Source organism: Homo sapiens, chromosome 6 (genome assembly GCF_000001405.40).
Source record: "Homo sapiens chromosome 6, GRCh38.p14 Primary Assembly".
NCBI classification, from domain to species: domain Eukaryota; kingdom Metazoa; phylum Chordata; class Mammalia; order Primates; family Hominidae; genus Homo; species Homo sapiens.
The window spans coordinates 34,845,290-34,858,042 of NC_000006.12; the positions used below are offsets into that span (position 1 = coordinate 34,845,290).

Sequence of the window (12,753 nt, forward strand, 5' to 3'; positions counted from 1 at the left end):
CTCCAGTTTTCTTCTCTTTGCTCAGCTGGCTTGGCTATTCTGTTTTTGTTTGTTTGTTTGTTTGTTTGTTTTTTGTGGTTCCATGTACATTTTAGGATTACTTTTCCCATTTCTGCGAAGAATATCATTGGTATCTATTTTTGTTTTGAGACAGGGTCTTGCTCTGTTGCCCAGGCTGAATTGCAGTGGTACAATCATGGCTCACTGCAGCCTCAACCTCCTGGGCTCAAGTGATCCTTCCACTTCAGCCTCCTGAATAGCTGGGACTATAAGTGCACACCACCATGCCTGGCTAATTTTTAAATTATTATTATTATTATTTTTTGAGATGGAGTCTTGCTCTGTCACCCAGGCTGGAGTGCAGTGGTACAATCTTGGCTCACTGCAAGCTCCACCTCCCAGGTTCACGCCATTCTCCTGCCTCAGCCTCCTGAGTAGCTGAGACTACAGGCGCCCACCACCACGCCTGGCTAATTTTTTGTATTTTTTAGTAGAGACGGGGTTTCAGCGTGTTAGCCAGGATGGTCTCGATCTCCTGACTTTGTGATCCACCAGCCTCGGCCTCCCAAAGTGCTGGGATTACAGGCGTGAGCCACCGCGCCCGGCCTAATTTTTAAATTTTTTATAGAAATGAAGTCTCCCTATGTCACCCAGTCTGGAGTTGTTGGTATTTTGATAGGGATTGCATTGAATCTGTAGGTTGCTGGGGTGGTATAGGCAATACGGATTCTCTAATCCATGAACATGGAATATCTTTCCATTTTTTTGTGTCCACTTCCATTTCTTTTCCCTCCCCTCCCCTCCCCTCCCCTCCCCTCCCCTCCCTTTCCCTTCCCTTCCCTCCTTCCTTCTTTCCTTGCTTCCATTTTTTTTGAGACAGAGCCTTGCTCTGTCACCCAGGCTGGAGTACTGTGGCGCAATCTCAGCTCACTGCATCCTCCACTTCCCAGGTTCAAGCGATTCTCCTGCCTCAGCCTCTGGAGTAGCCGAGAATACAGGCACCCACCACCACGCCTAGCTAATTTTTGTATTTTTAGTAGGGATGGGGTTTCACCATGTTGGCCAGGCTGGTCTCGAATTCTTGACCTCAAGTGATCCACCTGCCTTGGCCTCCCAAAGTACTGAGATTACAGGCATGAGCCCAGCCCTCCTCAGTTTCTTGTGTCAGTGTTTTATAGTTTTTGTTATAGAGATCTTTCACTTCTCTGGTTAAGTTTATTCCTATAAACTTAGGAATTGTAAATGGGGTTACTCTCTTGATTTCTTTTTCAGATTGTTTGCTGTTGGCATATTGAAATGCTACTGATTTTTGTGTATTGATTTTATATCCTGCAGCTTTACTGAATTTGTTTATTGGTTCTAATAGTTTTTTGGTGGAGTCTTTAGATTTTTTCAAATATAAGAGATCATATCATCTGCAAACAAGGATAATTTGACTTCTTCCTTTCCAATTTGGATACTCTTTATTCTTTCTGTTGTCTAATTGTTCTAGCTAGGACTTCCGGTACTATGTTGAATAACAGTGGTGAAAGTGGGCATCCTTATCTTGTTCCAAATATTACAGGAAAGGCTTTCAGTTTTCCCGCATTGAGTATGATAATAGGTACAGGTCTGTTGTATATACATTTTGTTATGTTGAGTTATGTTCCTTCCATACAGTTTTTTGAAGGTTTTTGTCATGAGGGATGTTGAATTTTATCAAGTGCTTTTTCAGTATCAGGTAAAATGATCATATATTTTTGTTCTTCATTCTGTGATATGTTGTATCTTATAGATTGATTTGCATATTTGGATCATTCTTGAATTCCTGGGATAAATCCCTGTTGGTCAGGATATATGGTCTCTTTAATGTGTGGTTGAATTCCATTTGCTAGTATTTTTTTGAGGATTTTTGCATCAGTGTTCATCAGGAAGATCGGCCTGTAGTTTTCTGTTTTCTTTTTCTTTTTTTTTTTCCAAGAACACTTTCATGTAGGAAGTTTTCTTTTTGATGTGTCTTTGTCTGATTTTGTTATCAGGGCATACTGGCTTCATAGAATGATTCTGGAAGTATTCCTCCTCTATTTTTTGGAATAATTTGAATAGGATAGGTATTAGTTCTTCTTTAAATGTTCGGTAAAATTCAGCAGTGAAGCTATTGGGTCCTGGGCTTTTCTTTGCTGGGAGACTTTTTATTATACCTTTGATCTCATTACTTGTTATTATCTATTCGGGTTTTGGATTTCTTCATGGTTTGATCTTAGTAGGCTGTATATAGCTAAGCATTTATCCTTTTCTTCTTGGTTTTCCAATTTATTGCTCATGGTAGTCTCTACTGATTTTTTGAATTTCTGCAGTATTGGTTATAGTGTCTCCTTTTTTGTCTCTGATTTTATTTATTTGGGTCTTCTCTCTTTTTTCTTAGTCTGGGGAAAAGTTTGTCAATTTTGTTTATCTTTTCAAAAAAACTTTTCCTTTTGTTGATCTTTTCTATTGTTTTTTTTTCAATTTCATTTATTTCTGCTTGATCTTTAGTATTTATTATTATTTATTTTCTTCTATTAATTTTGGATTTGGTGTCCTTGCTTTTCTAGTTCTTTAAGATGTACCATGAGGTTATTTACTTGAAATTTTTCTACTTTTCTTTTTTTCCTTTTTTTTTTTTTTTTTTTGAGATAGCCTCACTCTGTCACCCAGGCTGGATGCAGTGGCGTAATCTCAGCTCACTGCATCCTCTGCCTCCTGGGCTCAGATGATCCTCCAACCTCAGCCTCCCAAGTAGCTGAGACTACAGGCATGCACTACCATGCCAGGCTAATTTTTTTTTTTTTTTGTAGAGATGAGGTTTTGCCATGTTGCCCAGGCCTGTCTTGAACTCCTGGACTCAAGGGATCTGCCTGCCTTGGCCTCCCAAAATGCTAGGATTATAGGCTTGAGCCCGGGAGATAGAGGCTGCAGTGAGCTGTGATTGCACCAGTGCACTCCAGCCCAGGCAACAGAGCAAGACCCTGTCTCAAAAAAAAAAATAATAATAATCAATCAATCAATCAATCAGGGCCGGGTGCGGTCACTCATGGCTGTAATCCCAACACTTTGGGAGGCTGAGTGGGACAGATTACTTGAGGTCAGGAGTTCAAGACCAGCCTGGCTAACATGGCAAAATCCTGTTTCTACTAAAAATACAAAAATTAGCTTGGCATGGTGGCAGGCAGCTGTAATCCCAGCTACTTGGGAGGCTGAGGCAGGAGAATCACTTGAACCCGGGAGGTGGAGGTTGCAGTGAGCCAAGATTGTACCATTGCACTCCAGCCTGGGCGACAGAGTGAGACTTGGTCTCAAAAAAAAAAAAAAATACATAGCTATTCCGTCTCTTTTTTTAGTTTTAATTTGCATGGAATACCTTTTTCCATCCCTTTATTTTTCAGTCTATTTGTGTCTTTGTAGGTGAAGTGTGTTTCTTGTAGAGAACAGATCACTGGGTTTTGTTTTTTAATGCATTCAGCCATTCTGTGTCTTTTGATTGGAGTGTTTAGTCTATTTACATTCAACATTATTATTGATAAGTAAGGACTTGTTCCTGTCATTTAATTTGGTTTCTGGCCTTCTTTTCCTTCTGACTTTCTTTCCTGTCTTCCTTTCTGTGAAGGCGATTTCCTCTAGTGCTACATTTTAATTTCTTGCATTTTTTTTTTTTTTTTTTTGGTGCGTCTGTGGTAGATTTTTTCTTTTTCTTTTTTTTTTGTTTTTAGAGACAAAGTCTTGCTCTGTCACCCAGGTTGGAGTGAAGTGGCGTGATCTCAGCTCATTGCAACCTCCGCCTTCTGGATTCAAGCAATTCTTGTGCCTCAGCCTCCTGAGTAGCTGGGATTACAGGCATGCACCACTGCACCCGGCTAATTTTTGTATTTTCAGTAGAGACGGGGTTTCGCCATGTTGGCCAGGCTGGTCTCAAACTCCTGGCATCAAGTGATCCACCTGTCTTGGCCTGCCAAAGGACTACAGGCATGCACCACCACAACTGGCTAATTATAGGCGTGAGCCACTGTGCCCAGCCAGTTTTTTTTTTTATTTGAAATTACGATGAGGCTTACAAATAACATCTTATACCCCATTATTTTAAACTGATGACAACTTAACACTGATTACAAAAACAAACCAACTAACAAACAAGCAAAGAGGAAATTAACAAAAACTCTAATTTCATCTCCCTGGTTTTTAACTTTTTGTTGTTTTTCTATATATTTTATTATACCGTCTATGTCTTGAAAAGTTATTGTAGTTATTTTTGATAGGCTCATCTTTTAGTCTTTCTATTCAAGATATGAGTAGTTCATACACCATAATCACAGGGTTATAATATTCTGTGTTTGTCTCTGTAATTATTATTTCCAGTGAGTTTTATACCATCAGATGATTTCTTATTGCTCGTTAACGTCCTTTTCTTTCAGATTGAAAGAACTCCCTTTAGCATTTCTTATAGGACACATCTGGTGTTGATGAAATCCAGTTTGTTTGCAAAAGTATTTCTCCTTCATGTTTGAAGCATATTTTCATGGATATACTATTCTAGGATAAAAGTTTTCTCCTGGTCCTGCGCAGTGGCTCATGCCTTTAATAATCCCAGCACTTTGGGAGGCTGAGGCAGGCGGATCACCTGAGTTTGGGAATTTGAGACCAGCCTGACCAACATGGAGAAACCCTGTCTCTACTAAAAGAAATACAAAATTAGCCGGGTGTGGTGGTGCATTCCTGTAATCCCAGCTACTCAGGAGGCTGAGGCAGGAGAATCGCTTGAACCTGGGAGGTGGAGGTTGTGGTGAGCCAAGATCGTGCCACTGCACTCCAGCCTGGGTGACAAGAGCAAAACTCGGTCTCAAAAAAAAAAAAAAAGTTTTTTTCCTTCATCACTTTAAATATGTCATGCCTCTCTCTGCTAGCAGACTGAGAAGTCTGCTGCCAGACATATTGAAGCTCCTTTGAATGTTATTTATTTTCTCTTGCAGCTTTTAGGATCCTTTCTCTATCCTTGACTTTTGGGAGTTTGTTTATTAAATGCCTTGAGATAGTCTTCTCTGGATTAAATATGCTTGTATTCTATAATCTTCTTGTACTTGGATATTGGTATCTTCTCTAGGTTTGGAAAATTCTCTGTTATTATCCCTTTGAGTGAACTTTCTACCCCAATGTCTCCTTCTACCTCCTCCTTAAGGCCAATAATTCTTAGATTTGCCCTTTTGAGGCTATTTTCTGGATCTTGTAGGTATGCTTCATTCTTTTTTATTCTTTTTTCTTGTATCTCCCCTGATTATGCTTTTTCAAATAGCCTGTCTTCAAGCTCACCAATTCTTTCTCATACTGGGTCAATTCTGCTTTTGAGACTCTGATGCATTCTTCAGTGTGTCAGCTGATTTTTTTCAGCTCCAGAATTTCTGCTTAATTTTTTTAAGAGATAGGTTCTCACTCTGTTGCCCAGGCTGGAGTACAGTGGCATAATCATAGCTCACTGCAGCCTCAAAGTCCTGGGCTCAAGTAATTATCTCACTTTGGCCTTCTGAGTGGCTAGGACTACAGGCATGCACCACCACAACTGGCTAATATTTTTATTTTTTTGTAAAGACGGGGTCTCACTGTGTTGTTCAGGGTGGTCTTGAACTTCTGACCTCCCATCTCACTTTGCTTTGGGAGCAAAGTGTTGGGATTATAGGCAAGAGCCACTGCGCCCAGCCTCTGCTTGATTTTTAGAAATTATTTTAATCTTTTTGTTAAAAGATTAGGATAGGATTCCTAATTTTTTCTCTGTGTTATCTTGAATTTCATTGAGCTCCCTCAAAACAGCTATTTTGAATTCTCTGTTACTCCAGGTTTGGTCACTGGGGCCTTATTTAGTTCATTTGGTGAGGTCATGTTTTCCTGGATGGTCTTGGTGCTGGTGGAGGTTCGTTGATGTCTGGGCATTAAAGAGTTAGGTATTTATCATAGTCTTCACAGTCTGGAGTTGTGTTTACCCGTTCTTGTGAAGGCTTCCCAAGTATTCAAAAGGAATTGAGTATTGTGATCTAAATTTTTGGCCACTGCAGCTGTATCTGCATCAAGGGACACCCCAAGCCCAGTAATGCTGTGACTCAGAGGTATTGCCTTGGTGGTCTTGGGTAAGATCAAGAATTCCCTGTATTACCAGGCAGAGCCTCTTGTTCTCTTACTCTCCCCCATATAGCAGTGTCTCTCCATGCTAAGCTGCCTGGAATGAGGGGAAGGGTGACACAAGCACACCATGGCCACCACCACTGGTATTGTTCTGGGTTAGATGTGAAGCCAGCACTGTACTGGGTCTCTCCTAAGGCCCATGGTGACCACTGCCTGGCTGCTGCTGATATTCACTCAAGGTCTTCAGTCAGCAGGTGGCAAATCTAGCCAGGCATGTGTGCTTCCCTTTGGGGCAGTGAGCTTCCCCTAGCTCAGGGCGGGATCCAAGAATGCCATCCAGGAGCCATGGCCCGGAGTCGGGAACCTTAGGAATCTATGTAGTGCTCTATTCTACTATGGCTGAGCTGGCACCCAAGCCACAAGACAAAGTCCTTCCCACTCTTTCCCTTCCTTTCCTTATACAGAAGGAATTTCTCTCCAGGACCACCACTGCCCCAGGCCCACAGCAAGTACTGCCTGGCTACTGCCAATGTTTACTCAAGGCCCAAGAGCTCTTCAGTCAGCTTGTGGTGAATGCTCTCAGGTCTGGGTCTCTCCTTTCAAGGCAGTGGGCCCCTCTCTGGCCCAGGGCAGGTCCAGAGATGTCGTCTAGGAGCTAAAGCCTGGAATCGGGGACCCCAGGAGCCTGCTTTGTACCCTACCCCACTATGGCCAAGCTGGTACCCAGCTGCAAGACAAAGTCCCCTTTTCTCTTCTGTCTTCTTTCCTCAAGCAGGAGGAGTCTCTCCTTGTGGTCACCACAGGTAAGAGTGCACTGGGTCACACCTGAAGCCAGCACAGCCCGGGGTCTCAACCAAGGCCCATGGCAAATACTGTCTAGGTGCTGCTCATGTTTATTCAAGGCCCAAGGGCCCTTTAGTCAGCAGGCGATGAATCCTTCCAGGACTGGGTCCTTCCCTTCAAGGCAGTGGGTTCCATTCTGACCCAGGATCTGTTGTATCTAGAAATGTCATGCGGGAGCTAGAGGCCTACAATGGGGGCCTCAAGACTCTGCCTGGTGCCCTGTTCTACCATAGTTGAGCTGGTATCCAAATTGCAAGACAAAGTCCCCTGTATTCGCCCCTCTCCTCTCCTCTCCTCTCCTCTCCTCTCCTCTCCTCTCCTCTCCTCAGGTGCAAGGAAGCAGTCTCTCCCAGAGCTGCAAACTGTGCTGCATGGGGTTGGGGGAGGGGTGATGCAAGCATTCCTTTGGCTATCCCAGTTGGCATCTCAGGTCACTTGCACCCCAAGTCCATTGGCTCTGATCCCAGCATAGCACCAGTAGTTGCTCAGGAATTAACAATCCTTGTGGCTTTTCAAATTTCTTAAAGGATCCTAGAGCACTTTAGCATGCAGTGATGGGGCTAGCCAGAACTCAGGTAATAACCTCTAATAACCTCCGGATGGATGATTCCTCTCTGACTAGGGCTGGTCTAAATGCTCTGTGGGCACTGGCAGAATTCTGCCCTGTGTTGGCTTTCTGCTGTGACAGCACTGAGTTCCAATGCAAAGTCCCATAATTACTATGATGTCTCTCCCCCAAGCACACGGATTCTGTCTGTGCCATGAGGCCACTGCCAGGAGGCTGGGGGTGGGGTGGTGTCAGCAATTCAAAACTGTCTTTTCTACCTTCTTTGGTGCATCTTTACTTAATATGATGTTAAAACTGGGTACTGTGATCACTCATCTGATTTTTGGTTCTTATGATTTCCTGTGTGGAGAGTTGTTTTTCGTTTGTGTTTTGCAACAGGGTCTTGCTGCATTGCCAAGCAGGCTGGAGTGCAGTTATGTGATCACGGCTCACTGCGGCAAACTCTCAGGCTCAGGGGATCCTCCTGCCTCAGCCTCCTGACTGAGGCTAGGACTCCCGACTGGGACTACAGGCATGCGCCACCATACTCAGCTGTTTTTTTTATTTTTTTGTGGCAGGGGGAGTGTTTTTGCCCTGTTGCCCAGGCCCACCTCAGCCTTCCAAAATGCTGAGATTACAGGAATGAGCCACCATGCCCAGCCTGGATAGTTGTTCAATTTGGTGTTCTTGCTAGGGGAATAATCACTGGAGGGGGTGTGTTTGGCCATTTTGCTCTACCTCCTCCTCTAAAAATTCTTTTCTTTTCTTTTCTTTTTTTGAGACAGTCTTGCTCTGTCACCTAGGCTGGAGTGCAATGGCGCCATCTCAGCTCACTGCAACCTCTGCCTCCCGGGTTCAAGGGATTCTCCTACCTCAGCCTCCTGAGTAGCTGGGATTACAAGCGTGTGCCACCACATCCAGCTAATTTTTGTATTTTTAGTAGAGACGAAGTTTCATCATGCTGGCCAGGCTGAGTCTCGAACTCCTGACCTCAAGTGAACCATCTGCCTCAGCCTCCCAAAGTGCTGGGATTACAGGCATGAGCCACGGTGCCTGGCCAGTTATTTTCTTATATCAAGCAAAAGTTAAAGGTTATGTTCACTACAAATAATTTTAAGAAATTAAAATTTTTGGCCAGGCACGGTGGCTTATCCCTGCAGTTTGTAATCCCTGCACTTTGGGGGGCCGAGGTGGGTGGATCACGAGCTCAGGAGTTCGAGACTAGCCCGACCAACATGGTGAAACCCCGTCTCTACTAAAAACACAAAAATGAGCCGGACATGGTGGCGCATGCCTGTAATCCCAGCTACTCAGGAGGCTGAGGCAGGAGAATCACTTGACCCCAGGAAGCAGAGGTTGCAGTGAGCAGAGTTAGTGCCACCGCACTCCAGCCTGGGCAATAGAGTGAGACTCCGTCTCAAAAAAAGAAAAAAATTAAAAATTTTTAATTGTTTTTCATTTGTGGAAAAAAAATTGGAATATTTAAAATTTTGATTATATTGCTATTATATATTTATATAAGTTGATCATTTGCATATTTAATTTGAGACATTATAATATATACATAAATAAAACTAAAAGTTAGCAAATATAGTTTTGAAGTTAAATATTGATATATTTTTAAAATGTTAATTTAACTTTTAACTTAAAAATTATTTAGGGTTTCTTAACCCAGTAATGAATAAAAAGAGCGTGCTTTATACATGTTCTTTTTAAAATGTTAAAGCACATATATACATATAGTATGTTAACATATATATTTGTGGTATTAAAATTTCATGGAGAGAGGGCAGTTAGGAAAAAAGTATCTTAAAAGCCTACTTGGGGGGTGATTATGAAGAGTTGAGAAACAGAAACATTGTGTAGGGGTCTCTCTTGGTAGGAGAATTTGGGATGGCAAAATGTCGATTGGATGGAAATGACCCTACTGGATGAAGATATGCCAGCTTACACCTAGAGGATTCCATGGTATTTCCCTTCACTCATTTCTGTGGTGTTTTCTCTTATATTTTTGAGCATCTACTACTTACAAGGCTCTATGCTAGATATACTAGTAGGAGACAGGCTGGAAGTTGAATAGGGTGACCCAGACAATACACACATGCAGAGGAAATACTTTCTACTTTTACAGTTCTTTAGTCTAATTGGAAAGAGATGATAGAAACATGGAAAGTTCATTCATTTAGTAAGAATTAAATGTAAATTCAAGGTAAACATAATGTAATATTTGGCTTATTGCTAAAAATTTCAGTTTACCTATAATATTCTATGTGTTTATTTTATAATGTCCTGTTTGTGTAGTGTTTTTAGCATTCTATGGTACTTTGTACGTATAGTATATAATCATTGTCTAATATCAGAGCTTTAGCTCTGAGGCCAGGATATGAAAGGAAATAATATAGGTTATTGTTTTGGGGGAATCTGGCTTCTGCCTCTTCGTGTGTTGTGTTGAGGGAAAATAATACTAGGATTGGGGAAACAGTCAAGGCTATAGAGTGTGTCTGGGAAGCCTAGGACTGTAATTTCTGAATCCCGAGTTTGGCGGTCTCTTTCGCCTTTCTGGAAATCTGGCAACCATTTACAGAGACAATGGAATATACTTTCTTTTGGGTCTTTTAGAGCATGTCCATTGGATATTGTAACTCAAAAGAGGGCCTCAGCCTTGCAAATCACCTCACATCCTGGCCTTTTGGCTGCACCGTGTTATCAGCTGGGCTTTGAAGCTGGTCGTTAAGAGGACTTCTGCATGCTTTAGGTGGTGGTTTGGCTTCTTTGTTCCTTCCACTGCCATTCACCTGTATTTTTATTTTATAGGTGTCTCTGCCAACAGACTCATGGGTGGTGCCATGCAGCTTACCTTCCGCAAGATGGCGTTTGACTATTACCCTTTCCATTGGGCAGGTTAGGAAAACTCTGAATGGGGCCAATTCTCGCATAGCCCAAAATATTGAGGGCAGATTCCTGGATTCATCCCTGACCGCTTAACAGGAGGTTGCCAGAGATTGCAGTGCATGCTCAGAGGGGTGCTGGAAATATCCCTCTTCAAGAGGACGTCTGGAAACTTGCAGGTTCCACTATTGATGATTCTTTATCAGTAATGAGAGGAAGTGAGTAGGGGAGATATCTAGTGCCTGAGATATTGCTTTTGATTCTACTCTCAGCCCCTCACTTCCACTAGTGTTAGAGCCTCTCCAGTAGTCCATAGTCAAATATGGCAGCAGTCAACAGCTTGCCTTTAGGGAGCCTTTGAGAAAAATCACATATGGAACCCAGAAGAATGTGCAACCTATCATTGGATAATTTTTCCTTATCCTAGAGATTTCTGCACTGTGGGTGAGGAATCAGATTCTGAACTATGACTATACTGACAGAAAGGAAAAATTGGAACATTCATCATGATCTTGGGCTAAAATCTTTTCACTTCTTCGTTGCACAGGTGATAGCTGCAAACATTGGGTACGCCACTGTGAGGCCATGGAGACCCGAGGCCAGTGGGCCCAGAAGCTGGTGATGGAATTTCAGAGCAAAATGGAGAAGTGGCATGAAGAGACGGGTCTGAAACCACCCTGGCACCTTGGAGTAGACTCTCTCTTTCGGAGAAAAGCAGGTGGGTTATGAGGAACTGGAAGACTCCAGTTGCTTAGCCTCTTGCCATTTATCTTTGAATAACAGTGGAGATAAAGCAAGAACTAGCTAATTATCCCAGCTGTATGTAATGGAGAGACATCAGTGACTTTTTTCTTTACAGAGACCTCTTTGACTCCAGGGATAGCCACAGTGTTGATGTCATGTCATCATTTCTATTCAGTAGACTGTTGCCTTGGTCTTAAGAATAATATCATTTTTGAGTTCATCCAGGAGCTAGACAGTGTTAAGCTCTCTTTCCTACATATAACATTAATGATCTTAGGATTTTTACTTTCCTTATTCTATTAGTAATGAGAGTTGAATGTATCTGATTCTTTTTCCCACCTTATTTTTATTTAGATTCTCTTTCCAGTCCTCGAAAGAACCCTCTTGAGAGAAGCCCCTCTCAGGGCAGACAGCCTGCCTTTCAGCCTCCAGCATGGAACCGCTTACGCTCTAGCTGCATGGTGGTACGGGTGGATGACCTGGACATCCACCAGGTGAGGACATGAGGAAACATGGTTGGAAAGAGGTGGAGCAGTTTACTTGGAAGGCAGCTGGAACAGTATAAACAAAGTTTTGGAATTTGGGGACTATTTACCTCACTTCTGGGAAGATTAATAGTTTGGTCTGTTTCTTTCTGAGCATGGCTGGTGAGATCAGGACTTGGGAATTCCCCCAGTTTTACTGTGAATGCTCTGCTTTGAACCTCCCGCTGAAAAAACTAACTCGCGTATAGTGCGAGGCAGGTGTGAGAACACCTGGAATATATGTGAAAGACACTGTGTTCCCTGTGACAGACTTCAGAGGGATGGTAGAGGCTTTATGCTTCCTAAGCAGAAATGGAGGGCTGCTCTAAGTTTGATTGTTGATACTAACAAAAAGTTGTGATTGTTTAGGTTTCCACCGCTGGACAGCCAAGTAAAAAGCCATCTACACTCCTTTCCTGCAGTCGGAAACTTCACAACCTCCCTACCCAGGTCTCTGCCATTCATATTGAGTTCACAGAGTATTACTTCCCAGATAATCAGGAGCTTCCAGGTAAGCATCTAGGCTGGCTATTTTTCTGTCTAGCTCATGCTTTTCCCATTTGTCAGCCTTGGGGCCACTACGTATATTTTTATTTGTTGTTAGGAGTTTTCAGTGTTTGAGTTAATTTAGCACACTTTTGTTAAACACTCTGCCCTGTATAAATGTGTACCTTTGCTCTGTTCGTAATATAGTTAATATTAGGTAGTAAGAGCCTAGCTATTGCTTTTTACAGGATGTTTCTTTTCTTCCCTCTGCTTTCCAGTTCCTTGTCCTAATCTCTACATTCAGTTAAATGGTCTGACATTTACTATGGATCCTGTCAGTTTGCTCTGGGGAAACCTCTTTTGCCTGGATTTATACCGCAGCTTGGAGCAGTTCAAAGCTATCTACAAGCTGGAAGATTCAAGTCAGAAAGATGAACACTTGGACATCCGACTAGATGCATTCTGGTTGAAGGTGAGGGGAGAGTGTGACTTTTATCCCCTGTTAGTAGCCACAGCTGCATTTTTCCAATGGATATAATCCATGGTTTTGCTCTGTCCATTTTGTGGAAGTAAGAAAATAGTTTCACAGCCCAAAGG

General features: G+C 42.5%; 1 protein-coding gene across 1 annotated transcript in view; it reads left to right on the forward strand.

The window, feature by feature from the left end:
• BLTP3A (bridge-like lipid transfer protein family member 3A) overlaps nt 1–12,753 on the forward strand; it is an 85,432-nt gene that overhangs the window by 53,207 nt on the left and 19,472 nt on the right. Inside the window, exons 9-13 of the mRNA NM_017754.4 lie at nt 10,328–10,414; nt 10,950–11,120; nt 11,501–11,640; nt 12,040–12,181; nt 12,435–12,628. Coding sequence (NP_060224.3) covers nt 10,328–10,414; nt 10,950–11,120; nt 11,501–11,640; nt 12,040–12,181; nt 12,435–12,628 — 734 coding nt within the window. The remainder of the gene's footprint in view (nt 1–10,327; nt 10,415–10,949; nt 11,121–11,500; nt 11,641–12,039; nt 12,182–12,434; nt 12,629–12,753) is intronic.